The sequence below is a fragment of the Homo sapiens genome, chromosome 10 (assembly GCF_000001405.40).
Source record: "Homo sapiens chromosome 10, GRCh38.p14 Primary Assembly".
Taxonomy (NCBI): domain Eukaryota; kingdom Metazoa; phylum Chordata; class Mammalia; order Primates; family Hominidae; genus Homo; species Homo sapiens.
In genome coordinates, this window is record NC_000010.11 from 68,981,204 (window position 1) to 68,997,685 (window position 16,482).

General features: G+C 41.9%; 2 protein-coding genes and 1 pseudogene across 4 annotated transcripts in view, besides 1 other annotated feature; all 3 read left to right on the forward strand.

Moving 5' to 3' along the window:
* The window catches only part of DDX21 (DExD-box helicase 21), a 28,899-nt gene extending 25,034 nt beyond the window's left edge, over window positions 1–3,865 (forward strand). For all 3 annotated transcript variants that reach the window (NM_004728.4, NM_001410932.1, NM_001256910.2), the window contains 2 exons: window positions 334–378; window positions 1,340–3,865. In NM_004728.4, the coding sequence (NP_004719.2) occupies window positions 334–378; window positions 1,340–1,609 (315 nt within the window). In that variant the 3' untranslated portion in view covers window positions 1,610–3,865. The remainder of the gene's footprint in view (window positions 1–333; window positions 379–1,339) is intronic.
* Window positions 7,392–7,771: an enhancer, noted in NCBI's record as "active region_3474". NCBI's record gives its function as "activates an Ori minimal core promoter by ATAC-STARR-seq in GM12878 lymphoblastoid cells {active_cell/tissue: GM12878}" and the evidence as "EXISTENCE:reporter gene assay evidence [ECO:0000049][PMID:35858748]".
* KIFBP (kinesin family binding protein) overlaps window positions 7,600–16,482 on the forward strand; it is a 28,180-nt gene continuing 19,297 nt past the window's right edge. The window contains exon 1 of the mRNA NM_015634.4: window positions 7,600–8,055. Coding sequence (NP_056449.1) covers window positions 7,630–8,055 — 426 coding nt within the window. The 5' untranslated portion in view covers window positions 7,600–7,629. The remainder of the gene's footprint in view (window positions 8,056–16,482) is intronic.
* On the forward strand, window positions 9,925–10,665 carry MED28P1 (mediator complex subunit 28 pseudogene 1; annotated as a pseudogene).

The window sequence follows — 16,482 nt, forward strand, 5'->3', positions numbered from 1 at the left end:
TCAGCTAACCTTTCCAAGCCTGTTTGCTCAGCAATAAAATGTAGCTAATAGCCACTAGGGGGTTAGCACAGTGTAATAGCTAAGACTCTGTCTATAGTTAGAAAGTTCTAAATCATTTGGGGTTCTTTTTTTCAATGTTCCTTGTCTTTCTGCAGTGTACTTTTGGCAGCTATAATGTATTAGCTTTGGTCTAAAGTTCATCTAAAATTATACCTGGTGGTTTTTTTGCTTTATGTTTTTTGTTTTCTTTTTTTTAAAGAATACGTGGTCTTTTAAAGGGAGTATTTTTCATGTGCGTTGGTTGGATTAACTTCCATTTGCTTTGATTTCTAGGGTGTTTGCTTTGATGTACCTACCGCATCAGTAACAGAAATACAGGTATTCTTTTCCCTTAGATTTTAAAGTTAACATACCTAAATTGTAGAATGTTAATTATGAAAATAGAGAATAATAGATTGGGAAACAATAGTTCTGGTTCCTTTAGTAAGAGATAATCGATAATTAAATTTTGGAATATTCCCCCCTAACTTTTTAATTCTGATATTTTTGTAGTTGAACCCACCTGGTTTCTATATTTCCTTTATACAAAGTTGTGAACGATATCCAGCTCTCCCCACCCTTTAACACTTATATATGGTATATAGATTTTGTGTGTGTGTGTGTGTGTGTGCATGTGTGTGTGTGTTTTCAGACAGAGTCTCGCTCTGTCGCCCAGGCTGGAGTGCAGTGGTGCAATCTCGGTTCACTGCTACCTCCGCCTCCCGGGTTCAAGCGATTCTCTTGCCTCAGCTTCCCAAGTAGCTGGGATTATAGGCCCATCACTACCCCCAGCTAATTTTTTGTATTTTTAGTAGAGACGGGGGTTTCGCCATGTTGGCCAGGCTGGTCTCGAACTCCTGACCGCGGGTGATCCACCCACCTCCCAAAGTGCTGGAATTACAGGCATGAGCCACCACGTCCAGCCTACAGGTTTTCATAGACATTTAAAATTGTTACATCTTTATTCAATACTGTGAGAAATGTGTGCTTAATATATTTGTTTTATTACCTTTGGCTGTAGATACCCTGTAGCAATTGAGTTGAATAAATGGTTTAATAACTTAATAAATGAAGTAGTGATGAGGGCTATTTCTCATAATGAAACTGTGTTTTCCCACACTTCAGGGACACTGGCTTTTGGACCATGATGGGTGGCCAGTGTTATTTTTGACCAGTGACTTGTTAAGCACTTATGTTATCACCTTTTCTTTGAAGAAGTGGCAAATATTTTGTTTTTCTCATGCTTTTTAAAAATTGAATACTAATTAAAGCACACAAAAACAAAACATTCTCTCAACAGGAGAAATGGCATGATTCACGACGCTGGCAGCTCTCTGTGGCCACAGAGCAACCAGAACTGGAAGGACCACGGGAAGGATATGGAGGCTTCAGGGGACAGCGGGAAGGCAGTCGAGGCTTCAGGGGACAGCGGGACGGAAACAGAAGATTCAGAGGACAGCGGGAAGGCAGTAGAGGCCCGAGAGGACAGCGATCAGGAGGTGGCAACAAAAGTAACAGATCCCAAAACAAAGGCCAGAAGCGGAGTTTCAGTAAAGCATTTGGTCAATAATTAGAAATAGAAGATTTATATAGCAAAAAGAGAATGATGTTTGGCAATATAGAACTGAACATTATTTTTCATGCAAAGTTAAAAGCACATTGTGCCTCCTTTTGACCACTTGCCAAGTCCCTGTCTCTTTCAGACACAGACAAGCTTCATTTAAATTATTTCATCTGATCATTATCATTTATAACTTTATTGTTACTTCTTCATCAGTTTTTCCTTTTGAAAGGTGTATGAATTCATTACATTTTTATTCTAATGTATTATCTGTAGATTAGAAGATAAAATCAAGCATGTATCTGCCTATACTTTGTGAGTTCACCTGTCTTTATACTCAAAAGTGTCCCTTAATAGTGTCCTTCCCTGAAATAAATACCTAAGGGAGTGTAACAGTCTCTGGAGGACCACTTTGAGCCTTTGGAAGTTAAGGTTTCCTCAGCCACCTGCCGAACAGTTTCTCATGTGGTCCTATTATTTGTCTACTGAGACTTAATACTGAGCAATGTTTTGAAACAAGATTTCAAACTAATCTGGGTTGTAATACAGTTTATACCAGTGTATGCTCTAGACTTGGAAGATGTAGTATGTTTGATGTGGATTACCTATACTTATGTTCGTTTTGATACATTTTTAGCTTCTCATTATAAGGTGATTCATGCTTTAGTGAATTCTTCATAGATAGTATATATAAAAGTACATTTTAATAGAAAGCCAGGGTTTTAAGGAATTTCACATGTATAAGGTGGCTCCATAGCTTTATTTGTAAGTAGGCTGGATAAATGGTGCTTAAATGGTAATGTACTCCACTTCTTCCTATTGGAAGATTAACATTATTTACCAAGAAGGACTTAAGGGAGTAGGGGGCGCAGATTAGCATTGCTCAAGAGTATGTAAAAAAAAAAAAAAAAAAAAAGAACCAAACCACTGGAAATAATCAAATGCAAAAAGGTAACAAATTCATAACTGGAAAGCAAAGAGAAGAACAAGTATGATTTGGATGATAAAGCATTGTTTTAATGGTGAAAACTTCACAGATCACTAATGTTTCTAGAGGTTAACTTCAAGTGGGCAAGCTGGGGTTTTTAGGTAGTCAGTGGCCTAGTTCCTAAAGCCACAGTATAGGATCTGTTAAACTGAATGTCTGTTGAAAGTTTGTTTTAGCTGCTTGGAGGCTTCCTTTTAAGACAAACTGTATGTGATTAAGTTGTTTTGAGGGAACTGAAGAACCTGATGTAGCCCCTGGCCAGATAACTGCCTGATTTCTCAGATATTATTTCTCTGGGAAACATTCTACATAGCACAGGAGCTTAAGAGTGGCATTATCTTCTCGCCTTAATTTCCAGAGATTATTTCTGTACTGAGAATCCTGGAACTACTATGCTAGGAAATTTAAAGCTGCATGGTCTGTCTTGTTTTCATTTAATTATTGTGAATACCTAGAATCTTTCTTGGTCCTGATTTCTCTTGCTTAATCCAGTCTTTATCTCTAACTGCCCCTTATTTGATCACCATGTACTAGGAGCTCTGATAGCCAGCTCAGCTCCTAATCCTTGAGGCAACATTCTTTTTCTATTTGAACTTCAGTTCTGTCCTTGAATCCCGACTAGATATTTCTTGCCCTCTGGTCTCAGAATTCTCTTGGCTTTTATTCCTTGATCCACTTGCCAGTTTTATCACTTTACCCTTGTTCCTCATGGCTTCCCATCAAGCCATGGGTATTAGGTGACAGTGTAATTTATTAGATTCTGGTTTTGCCCAAATACTGGGCATGCTTTAATAATAACTGAACCATTTCATTATTTGGATAGGCATGGGTACCTTATCAAGCAGATTAAAAGGATATGGTACCCGTCCTTTAGAAAAGAACAGCTAAAACCTTGTTGTGGATTATGGATTTAGCCTAAAGAAAAATAATCTGGCATAAATTAAGAGTAAGAGAGAAGATTAATAGAAATTTCACTTCACATAACTTAAAACATGGCTATTTCAATAAAGGACTAAAGTTTCTCCTGGATCCCAGAATTCAACCTGTATTTATAAATGTATAATGTATTTAGCTACTTTTTGGTTTAAATGAACTTGTTGGGTTAGCTTGGTAAATGTTATAATTTTTACTATTTTCTACAAAGAAAATATTTTCTAATTTAAGTTGGAGCTATCTGTGCAGCAGTTTCTCTACAGTTGTGCATAAATGTTTTTACTATAAAATGAGCTAATGTATAAAATACTGCTGTATACCATAATAAAGATAGTAATACTTGATTTTAGTGGCTTTTGTTTTCTAAAATGAAAATAGCTTGAAATATTTATTATAAAAATAATAAAAGCTAGATATAAAAATCTAAAGAGAAAAAAAACCAGTCACCCTTATCTAATATTTTAGTGAGCAGTCTTCCACATGTTCATTTATAAAATTGGAATTATTTGATTTTGTGTATTGCTTTTCCCCCCTCAACATGTTGTGCACAATTTTGTACAGGCTTACATGGACATTTTTGATGACATGTTTTCTTGTATGGATATGCCACTACACATTTAACCAGTACTCGATGTCCATGTTGGTTATTTCTAATTTTTCACCATTATAAACAACCCTAAAGTTAATATCCTCACATATGTGTTTGCATACTCGTCTGTCACCTTAGGATACGTTTTCTAAAGGTAGAACTACAGCTTTGAACTCCTAGGCTCAAGTGATCTTCCCTCTCAGCCTCCCAAGTAGCTGAGACTACAGGGGGGTACCACCAAACCTGGCTAATATTTAAATTTTTTATAGAGATGGAGTCTCATTCTGTTGATCAAGCTGTTTGTGAACCCCTGGCCTCAAGCAATCGTCCTGCCTTGGCCTCCCAAAGTGCTGGGATTATAGGTGTGAGCCACCATGCCCGCCCTCTTCTAATTATCTGTCATGAGATGGATCTCCAGTCATTGCATTGAGGTTTATGTATTTAATATATTTAGTGTTTTCCCTATACCGGGGCATGGATTTTTGTCTTTCTTTGAGACAGGGTCTCTATCTGTTACCCAGGATGGAGTTCAGTGGCATGATCATAGCTCACTGCAGCCTTGAACTCCTGGGCTCTAATGACCCTCTTACTTCAGTCTCCCACTTAGCTAAGACTATAGGCATGTGCCGCCACACCTGGCCAATATTTCTTTAAAAATGTTTTTTGTAGAAAAATTAGCTGGGCATGGTGGCGGGCGCCTGTAGTCCCAGCTACTTGGGAGGCTGAGGCAGGTGAATGGCGTGAACCCGGGAGGCAGAATTTGCAGTGAGCTGAGATCATGCCACTGCACTCCAGCCTGGGTGACAGAGCAAGACTCTGTCTCAAAAAAAAAGATGTTTTTTGTAGAGCCAGGGATCTCACTATATTGTCCAGGCTGGTGAATTTTTATCCATTTTTTACTGCTGAATTCCCAGCACCTACAACAGTGCTGGCAAATAATAGATAACTAAATATTGAACAGGTGAACAAATTTTTTTTTTTTTTTTTTTTTTTTGAGACAGGGTCTCACTCTGCTACCCAGGCTGGTGTGCAGCGGCTTGATCACAGCTCACCGCAGCCTCCAACTGCCAGGTTCAGGTGATCTCCCATGTCAGCCTCCTGAGTAGCTGGGACTACAGGCATCCACCACCATGCCTGTCAAATTTTTGTATTTATTTATTTATTTTTTTGTAGATACGGGGTTTTGCCATGTTGCCCGGGCTGGTCTTGAACTCCTGGGCTCAATCGATCCCGCGACCTTGGCCTCCCAAAGTGCTAGGATTACAGGTGTGAGCCATTGCGCCTGGCCCAAATCATTTTAAATGTACTGGGAGATGCACTGATAGGAGGCCAAACTGGCAGCAGGACTGCCTGTTAGAAGTAATCAGATGATGGTGGCCTAAACTAATGGAGATAAAAAGATGTACACAGAGCTCTTTAGGAGGTGGACTAAGCAGTACTATCTGGTTTTAGGTTTAATGACAGAAGAGGCCTGGTGCAGTGGCTCACGCCTGTAATCACAGTACTTTGGGAGGCCAAGGCGGGCACATTACTTCAGGTCAGGAGTTCGAGACCAGTATGGCCAACATGGTGAACCGCCCCCCCAACCCCGTCTCTACCAAAAATACAAAAATTAGCTAGGTGTGGTGGTGCACACCTGTAATCCCAACTACTCAGGAGGTTGAGGTTGCAGTGAGCTGAGACCACGCCAGTGCACTCCAGCCTGGGCAACAAAGCAAGACTCCGTCTCAAAAAAAAAAAAAAAAAAAAAAAAGAATGACAGAACAGGCTGGGCTTGGTAATCCCAGCACTTTAGGGGGCTGAGGTGGGAGGATTGCTTGATAAGCCTGGGCAACATGGCAAGACTCCATCTCTACCAAAAAAAAAAAAAAAAGTGCAGGAAATCAGCCTGGTGGATGGTGGTGCCATTCACTGACATGTAGAACTGCAAATGTGGCAAATTTGGTATGGGAAGGAAGGGGCATGTGAAGAGGAAGATCATTTAGACTTGAACATACTGACACACAGCAGCTATTGAAACATTCAGGTGTGATTGTTGTAGCTGGATGTTGGATATTCCAGTCTGGAGCTCTGGAGAGCCATCTGGCCTGGAGACAAAGTGGGAGTGAGCAGCGTGTTTAATGATAGACCTGGAAATGGATGAGATCTCCCAGGGATAAGGTTTAGGAAGGACTTTTTAGGAGCATTAACACTTAAAGGATAGACGTTTAATTTTATTTATTCTTCAGAATAATTCTGTCGAGGTAAGTAGTATCATTCAGATTTTACTGTGGGAAACCTGAAGCTTAAAAAAGTTAACTTGTCAATAAGAAAGCTGGTTGGTCTGAGGTTCAAACCATATGTCTATGAGCTCCCAAAATCAATGCTCCTTTGTATGTCTCAAAGCACTGTACACAGCTGGTGCTTAATAGTTAAAATCTTCTATCACCCCTCCCCATTTGACTTGATAACTTAGGAAGGTAAAAGGCATGAGGCGGCTTTCACAGCTGTGGGACTTAGCTCTTGTTACCTTGGGCAGTTGTACAGATTCCTACAACCTGTATTTCAGGGTCGAAGTGAAAATATTTGTCTATCACTGAGTGTTTTGTATATTTATGGCTCTCGATCAAGAGATTATGTGTCAATGATAATAATCAGCTCTTGGCTACATTTCAATTTTTTTTCTTTTATTTTACTTTTAAGTTCTGGGATACATGTGCAGAACATGCAGGTTTGTTACATAGGTATACATGTGCCATGGTGGTTTGCTGCACCTATCAACCTGTCAGCTAAGTTTTATGCCCCGCATACATTAGGTATTTGTTCTAATGCTCGTGTTTTCTTTTTTTCTGAGGCAGTCTCGCTCACTGTAACCTCCACCTCTTGGGCTCAAGCCATCCTTCCGCCTCAGCCTCCATGGTAGCTGGGACTACAGTCGCGCGCCACCACGCCCGGCTAATTTTTTAAAAAAAATTATGTAGAGATGGGTCTTGCTATGTTGCCCACTCCAGTGGGCATCCCAAAATGTTACTGGCATCCCAAAATGTTAGGATTGCAGATATGAGCCACTGCGCCTGGCCTTTTTTAAAAAAAGTTTTATCCAGTGACAGGCTGGGCTATACACTTAATGTCTAAAGGTTTTTGCCTTTCAGTTCATATCAACGCGAGTAGAGTTAGCTAGCTATGTTTGTAAACAATATTCCGATATGCTTCGTTAAAGTAAGCCGATATTAAACATTTATATAAATCCATCCTCACAGGGTCAATCTGGAGATAAACTCACCGCTGCAGGGGGCGGGGAAGGAGGTGGGAACACGCTCATTGACAACTTCATTTCCATGAGAATGGTTGCTGTGGTGATTGCTGCGTCTTCCCATTGGTCATTGCCGAGCGTATTGCGGTTCTCCGGGAGGGTTATATTGGTTCCCATTCCACAGCGGCCGCAACGTGTCGAGAGCCGTAAGTAAAGTGTCGCAAAGCAGAAGGAAGGCGGGAGTCCCGACTGCAAACATTGAGGAAAGCCAGGCAGTAGAGGCCGCTATGGCGAACGTTCCGTGGGCAGAGGTCTGCGAGAAATTCCAGGCGGCGCTCGCTCTGTCGCGGGTGGAACTGCATAAAAATCCGGAGAAGGAACCATACAAGTCCAAATACAGCGCCCGGGCGCTACTGGAAGAGGTCAAGGCGCTGCTCGGCCCTGCGCCTGAGGACGAGGATGAGCGGCCTGAGGCCGAGGACGGCCCGGGTGCCGGTGACCACGCCCTGGGGCTGCCGGCTGAGGTGGTGGAGCCCGAGGGGCCCGTCGCCCAGCGAGCGGTGAGGCTGGCAGTCATCGAGTTCCACCTCGGGGTGAACCACATCGACACGGAGGAGCTGTCGGCGGGGGAGGAGCACCTGGTGAAATGCCTGCGGCTGCTGCGCAGGTACCGGCTCTCGCACGACTGCATCTCTCTCTGCATCCAGGCGCAGGTGAGAGCGAGCCCGGCCAGGCCGGCCCCTGTTGGCAAATGGCGAGGGATGGGGAGGAGCCCCTGCCAAGGCCAAGGGCAGACGTTGTAAGGCGCAATTCGTCCCCACGTTTTTGTAGCTCTGGACTGAGTCCCAAAGAGCGTCTGTGGTCTTCAAAAAAGCCAGTCTTATGGACTTATTGCCTTGTAACTAGATCTCCCACAGTCGGCCGTCCCCAGACTCCGTGTCCACCCTCGTCGCCCACACCAATATCGCTTGCTGCTGCTTCACTTAGACGTGGCGATGCATTGGTGTCCGAGACCCTCCTACATCGTCATGCGCTTTCCTCTCCACCAGTCCAACTCCTGTTCATTCTGTTAAGAAAATCCAAAGTAATTTAAATCTTAACGTCTCAAGGAAATGACAATGACCGGAGTACATTCTTTTTTGGTTTTGTCTTGTTTTTGTTTTTTTCTTAGAGATGGGGTCTCACTGTGTCGCCCAGGTTCGAGTTAAGTGGCACCATCATAGCTCATTGCAGCTTCCACCTCTTGGGCTCAAGCAGTCCTCCTGCCTCAGCCTTCATAGTAGCTGGAACCACAGGCGCATGCCACCATTCTTGGTAATTTTTTTAATTTTCTGTAGAGATGGGGGTCTCACTATATTGCCCAGGCTGGTCTTGAACTCCTGGACTCAAGTGATCCTTCTGGCTCACCTTCTCAAAGTGCTGGGATTACAGGCCTGAGCCGCTGTGCCTGGCTCGGAATACATTCTTAATTCAAAATAAAATGTCCAAAATCTGCAGCTTCCTTTCTTACCAAATTCATTTGTTTGCATCTTAGGGAATTCTTCCCCATTCTTGAAAACCTATCTCAAGAATCACTTCCTTTAGTATTAATAACTTTCTTGGGACCATTTTGGGCCAAACTGATCTCTCCCTCCTACCTTTGAATTCTTATAATACTTTTTGTTTCCCATTTATATGGTACTTGGTTTCTTAAATAAATCTGGGCAGGGCACAGTGGCTCCCATCTGTAATCCCAGCATTTTGGGAGGCCGAAGTGGGAGGATGGCGTGAGGTCAGTAGTTCAAGACCAGCCTGGGCAACAAAGTGAGACTCTGTCTCTTAAACAAAACAAAACAAAACAAAAAACCCACAAAACTAGCCAGGCATGGTGGTACACGCCTGTAGTCTTAGCTACTGGGGAGGCTAGGTTGAGCTGGGAGGATCACTTGAGCCCCTGGAGGAGCCATGATCATGCCACTGCAACTGCAGTCTGGGTGACAGAGCAAGACCTTTTCTCAACAACAACAAAATCCACATCAATATTCTAAAGTAATATTGGTCAACACCTGTGAAAAGAAGGGGTGAAAAAAAGAAAAATACTTTAAAAAGTTAAAATAATATTGGGACAGGTGAACATGGATGTTTATCACAGCAGTGTTGATTATTAAAGAAGGAAAATCGCAGGGCTGAGGCAGGAGGATCGCTTGAGCCCAGGAGGTCAAGGCTGCAGTGAGCCAAGATTGTATCACTGCACTCCAGCCTGTGCAACAGAGTGAGACCCTGTCTCAAAAAGCAAAGAAAAGGAAAACAATATAAATGTCAGTAGGAATATGATTAAATTCCGTTACATCCAAACAGAAGAACAGTACACAATTATTAAAAATAATAATTTATATTAACAAAAATTGGCAATATGAAGAGGGAGGAAGAAGACTATAAGCCATATTTAGAATTATGTAGAAAAGGCCGGATGTGGTGGCTCACACTTGTAATCCTAGCACTTTGGGAGGCTGGGATGAGATGATCACTCGAGCTTAGGAGTTCAAGACCAACCTGGGCACATAGTGACACCTCATCGCTACTAAAAATAAGAAAAAAAAATTATTCCAGGCATGGCTGCTTTGCTAGGCAGTATGTTCTTTGGGCAGCCATCGGGGCCCCAACCACCACCGGGGCTCTGGGGCCAGGCTTCCTTTACTTACCAGCAGCTCCAGGGCCTCTGAGACCTTCTAACAGTACTTTGGTGGATGACATGGAGTCATCTTTCCAGACTTGCTTTGCCTCTCCGTTAAGTCAGGACTATGTCAATGGCAGCAATCAGGAAGAAATTGGAACTGGTGTTGATCGGTGTATACACAAGTTTCTGGATATTGCAAGACAGAATATTTCTTTCCTACAAAAAAGATTGCAATTATCTGTCCAGAAACCAGAGCAAGTTATCAATGAGGATGTCGATGTCTCCGAACTAAGAAATGAATAACATTGGAGACATGCACTGGTCCAGAAGCACTTGACAAAGCTAAGGCATTGGCAGCAAGTGCTGGAGGTCATCACGTGCAGTACAAAAAGCTAGCTGACATCCATCAAGGCTCCTTGGTCTACCTTGAGCAGGCATTCAATATCCCTGCACTTCTGAAGTGCACCTGAGCAAAAGGGTAAAGGCTGTGGGCCTGAGAGTGGGCTGGTGTGGGAGAGCCCCATGCAGATGGTTTGCCACACATCCCTTCTTGTAGACTTGGCATTTTGGAAGAACTCTTTGACAGAGAATGAGTTGATTTTAGTTTTATGCTCCCACCTAAAATTTTTTCACTATTTTTATAAGATGTTAATTTCTTGAGTACTTTATTTATAACATGCCTGTACCTTGGGTAAACCAAGTAAACTTTTTTTTGTCTTAGGCAAAGTTTAGACTGTTCGTATGATGATACACTTTCTTTTTTATGTGGGTTTTTTTTTTTGCTTGTTTTTTATTTTTATTTTTATTTTTGAGACAGAATCTTCCTCTGTTGCCCAGGCTACATAGCAGTGGCACCTTCACAGCTCATTGCAACTTCCACCCTCCTGGCTTAAGCGATCCTTCCACCTCAGCCTCCCAAATAGCTGGGACCACAGGTGCCTGCCACCATGCCCAGCTAATTTTTGTATTTTTAGAGAGACGGTGTTTCACCATGTTGCTCGGGCTGGTCTCGAACTACTGAGCTCAGGCAATTCTACCCACCCCAGCCTCCCAAAGTGTTGGGATTACCAGTATAAGCCACTGTGTCTGGCCTTTTAAAAATTTTTGCATGACTTTTCATCTTTTTATGTGTGTTTCCCATTTGTTTGATATGAGGGAAAAATTTCTAATAGCTTGAGAATCAAGGGGATGGGGATTTTGGTTGTAGGCATTTTATAATAATTAACCCCTTAGCAGTGGTGTAGAAAAATAGGTAAATTTTTTGTTTCAAGACTTAAAACTACCTCAAGAAGAACAATCTAATGTAACAGTATTTGTAACGCTTCCAGAGGTCTCAGATGAGGAATTTTTTTGTAAATGGTTTGGAAGAAGATTAAAATATCCTGGGTTAGCGTAGTAACATTACGGTAGGATCCTTAGGTTGATGCTGACTTTTGTTTGGGGTAAGTTTATATTTTGTGTGGTGTTTATTTACTTTTTTTGAAGAGGAGGATGTAGTAGGAGCAGTGTTACAAATCAGTTTAAGTAATGGAGTAGACCCTGTTGTCAGTGGGGCATAGATGAGTTATGAGGGCTAAAGCTTGCTCTGATGGTCTCTTTTTGTTTTGTTTTCTTTGCTTTTATCTTTTGTTTTACATTTGGGGAGGGGAGAGATTTTCCATTAAGGAAGGTTATTGCTAGTGGATTTGATTCCAAGGGTCTGGGGTGTCACAGTAGGGTTGGGGAGGGGCTGCAGGGTGATCCTTGGCTACTGAACCTCCACAGAGAGCATGTGGTGCCCCTGCCCTTTCAAGATAATTTACTCTCTTGTTAGTTTTGCAGGCCACCTCAGATTCTCTGTTGAATTGCTGTTAAGAAATACAGACCAGTGTTGTTTCTGGGCTCTCGTTGGGTGAGGTTTTCCTGAGTTTTATGTCTCTTCTTAGTTCACATCGTGTTACCCAGAACACATGCTTCACTGTCTTCTGAACAGGCAGTACTCCTGTGGCTCTGTGTCTTGGCTTGTTTAGTTTTTTTCAGCCTTGAAGGCTCCTTCCCACACTTACTGACATCCACTCATGTTCCTGGTATGACCTGGATTGCTGCCTGGTCCCTGCAACCTCCCAATGCCCTTTCTGCTGCATTCCCAGAGCACAGGACTTTTCTCTTTTCTACTGACCTTGCTTGGTTCTCCCTTGTGGGTTAGTAATTTCTGTCTGTCTCTTTGCCCCTCACTAATTGTTCACCCATGAGAATTAGGTATTATTCCTTTTAAATATACAGGGACCATATAGTCTTTATCTTTTATACATGATACTTATTACTCAATTTTGTGTGTGCAAGGTATCTGGCACATGGACCTGTGATTAGTAGCCTGAGGTCAACAAATCTCAGTTAGAATGCGTAGGTTAAACAAAGCTTTTTTTTTTTTAAATTTAATTTAATTTTATCTTTATAGAGATGGGGTCTCACTATATTGACCAGGCTGGTCTCAAACTCCTGGCCTCAAGTGATCCTCACATCTCGGCTTCCCAAAGTGCAAGGATTATGGGCATGAGCCACTGAGCCCAGCCTAAACAAAGCTTTTAAAAGCTCCTGCAACCTCAAGGTTGTTAACCTGGTCATCTCATGGTAATTAGAAACTCTGATTGGCTGCTTTAGATTTCTTGATTAAAAACCTAAGTAAACTGATTAAGTTTTAGGCATTCTTTCAAAGGTTTCTCAGTGAAAAGATTGGGAACTATTCTATTTGGTGCTTTGTGAAAATATTTTGAATTAGTATATGTGCCAGTTATTGCCATTTCTTAAGTCCAAAATGTTTTTCTGGTCAAATAAATAGCAGTTTTTCAAAAACAAAAATTAGCTGTGTGTGGTGGCATGCATGTGTAGTCCCAGCTACTCAGGAGGCTGTGGGAGGACTGCTTAAGCCTGGGAGATCAAGGCTGCAGTAAGCTAAGATGGTGTCACTGCACTCCAGCCTGGGTGACAGAGTAAGACCCTGTCTCAGAAAAAAAAAAAATTTATAGAATGATCCTATTTTTGTATAAGACTAAGTATACACACACACACACATACTTACATTATATATACACATATAGTAAAAAGTTTATATACATGTGAATATATACAAATACGTATGTATGTGTGTGTATATGGAAGAGTTTTGCAAGTATCAGTTAATGGGAATTCATGATATTCTAACTGCTTTGTCTTAATCTGGTGTATTCTCCTTGGGGAACTACAGAACTTGGCTCTATATTATTTATCAAAAGAGATTGATATTACATTAGATTATCAAGAGATTTCTGTCTTCTCTGGGTTCCAGTGCCTTAGGAATAATTTTTATCTGGTATTCCTTCTGATCCTTGTTATCACCAGTACACACTGGCACTACCATCTTGATTACTTCACTTTAGTAAAATTTCCTAGGAAATTAGTAGATTGCTGTCCCCACTCCAGGTTATATATGTATAGGAGTACTTTTTGTTGTTATTGTTCACAGATTCATTGAGTTGCAATTGGCATATAATAAACTGCACATATTTTTAAGGGTACAGTTTGATGAGTTTTGACATATATATTTATACCTGTGAAACAATCACTGCAATCAAGATATGAACATATCTGTCACCACCAAAAGTTTTCTTGTGCTCCTTTGTAGTCCCTCCCTCTCTCCTATATTCTTTTCCTCCCTTCTGCTTGCCCCCAACCCTGCATTTTGTAGAATTTTATTTTATTTTAGAGACAGGGTCTTACTATGTTGCCTAGGCTGGCCTCAAACTCCTGGGATCATGTGAACCTTTCACCTCAGCCTCCTGAATAGCTGGGACTATGTAGAAATTTTATTTTATTTTTGAAGACGGGGTCTGGCTCTGTCACCCAGGCTGGAGTGCAGTGGTGGGATTTCGGCTCACTGCAACCTCTGCTTTCTGGGCTCAAGCCATCCTCCCACCTCAGCCTCCTAAGTAGCTGAGACTACAGGGTCACACCACCACGCCCAGCTAATTTTTGTATTTTTTGTAGAGGCAGGGTTTCACCATGTTGCCCAGGCCTCAAGTGATTCGCCTGCGTTGGCCTCCCAAAGTGCTGGGATTACAGGTATGTGCCACTGTACCCAGCCTATGTAGAATTTTATATAAATGAAATCATATTGTATATACTCTTGTTTTGGTATACCTTTTTTCCACTCAACATCGTTATTTCATTCTGTATCTACTGAGCTGATCGTGTCTTTTCATTTTCAGTCTGTTAATAGGGTGGATTACATTGATTTTTGTAAATGTTAAACTAATCTTGCATTCCTGGGATAAACTCCATTTGGTCGTAGCGTATTCTTTTTATATATTGTTGAACTGAATTCACTAAATTTTTGTTTAAAATCTTTGCATCTGTGTTCATGAAGGATTTCAGTCTGTAGTTTTCTTGTTATATCTTTGTTTAATATGAGATGGGAAGTGTACTGTCCTTTTCTCTTTTCTGGAAGTGTTTGTGTAGTGTTGGTGTTAAACTTCATTACATGTTTGGCAGAATTTACCAGTAATACTTTTTTAGCTGTTTTTATTTTATATTTTACTTTTCTCCTTACCTAGTTTGATAGTGGCAAGGATATGATATGTGAAAGATGCAAGACCTTCCATTGTAGCTTTTCTACCCTTAGTAGGATTTATATTGTATTTAAAGAATAATTCACATAAAGGCTGGGCACGGTACCTCATGGCTGTAATCCCAGCACTTTGGGAGGCCAAGGCGGGTGGATCACTTGAGGTCAGGAGTTTGAGATCAGCCTGGCCAACATGATGAAACCCCATCTCTACTAAAAATACAAAAATTAGCCAGGTGTGGTGGCAGGTGCCTGTAATCCCAATTGCTCAGGAGGCTGAGGCACAAGAATCGCTAGAACCCGGGAGGCGGAGGTTGCAGTGAGCCAAGATCATGTCACAGCACTCCAGACTGGGCAACAGAGCAAGACTCTATCTCAAAAAAAAAAAATGGTAATAATAATTCAAATAAAATGTCAATAGTGATTATCTCTGTGGAGTCAAGCTTTAAAAAAAAAATCCAAAACACCAAACCTAATTTAATTTTAAAAATAAAGGTGGGCCGGGTGTGGTGGCTGACGCCTGTAATCCCAGCATTTTGGGAGGCTGAGGTGGGTGGATCACCTAAGGTCAGGAGTTCAAGACAAGCCTGGCCAACATGGCAAAACCCCGTCTCTACTAAAAATACAAAAATTAGCTGGGCGTGATGTTGGGCGCTTGCAATCCCAGCTACTCTGGAAGCTGAGGCAGGAGAATAGCTTGAACCTGGGAGGTAGAGGTTGCAGTGAGTTGAGATTGTGCCACTGCACTCCAGCCTGGGCGACAAGAGGGAAACTCTCAAAAAAATAAATAGGCTGGGCATGGTGGCTAACACCTGTAATCCCAGCACTTTGGGAGGCTGAGGTAGGTGGATTGCCTGAGGTCAGCAGTTCGAGACCAGCCTGGCCAACATGGTGAAACCCCGTCTCTATTAAAAATACAAAAATTAGCCGGGCATGGTGGCGCATGTCTGTAATCCCAGTTACCCAGGAGGCTGAGGCAGGAGAATCGCTTGAACCCAGGAGGTGGAGGTTGCAGTGAGCCAAGATCGTGCCACTGCACTCCAGCCTGGGCAACAGAGTGAGAGACTGTCTCAAAAAATAAAATAAAATAAAAAATATTTTGGCCAGGCGCAGTGGCTCATGCCTGTAATCCCAAGACTTTGGGAGGCTGAGACTTGAGTCCAGGAGTTTGAGACCAGCCTGGACAACATAGTGAGACTTTGTCTCTATTTGAAGAAAAATAAAATAAAAGTGATTTGATCATTCCACTGGAACATAGCACTTTGGTCTTCCGGCTTTACAAAATATATCCATTGTATATATATTTTTTTAAGTGACTTGATCAGTCCTCAGTATCCAGGACTATAGGTCATACTGATAATGTTTTGAGATTGGATAGTTCTCTCCTCTATGTTACTTATGAGGTCCTTTCCAGGACCTCATTAAACTACATAAGTAATAGAGGCTTGACATAATAGAGGACCTTATTAAACCTCATAAGTAATAGAGACTTGAAGGGTGATATGGTTTGGCTCTGTGTCCCCACCCAAATCTCATGTTGAATTGTGATCTTCAGTCTTGGAGGAGAAGCCTGGTGGGAGGTGACTGGATCATGGGGGTGGATTTCGTCTTGCTGTTCTCATGAGATCTGGTTGTTTGAAAGTGTATAGCACTTCCTTCTTTGCTCTCTCCCCTTCCTACTCCAGCCATGTAGAATGTTTGGGCTTCCCCTTCACCTTTTGCCGTGATTGTAAGTTTCCCGAGGCCTCCCCAGCCATACCTCCTGTACAGCCTGTGGAACTGTGACCCAATTAAACCTCTTTTCTTTATAAAGTATCTAGTCTCAGGTAGTTCTTTATAGCAATATGAGAATGAACTAATAGAAAGGGCTCTGCCTTCCTAATAACTTACTGATTGTAATTTCCT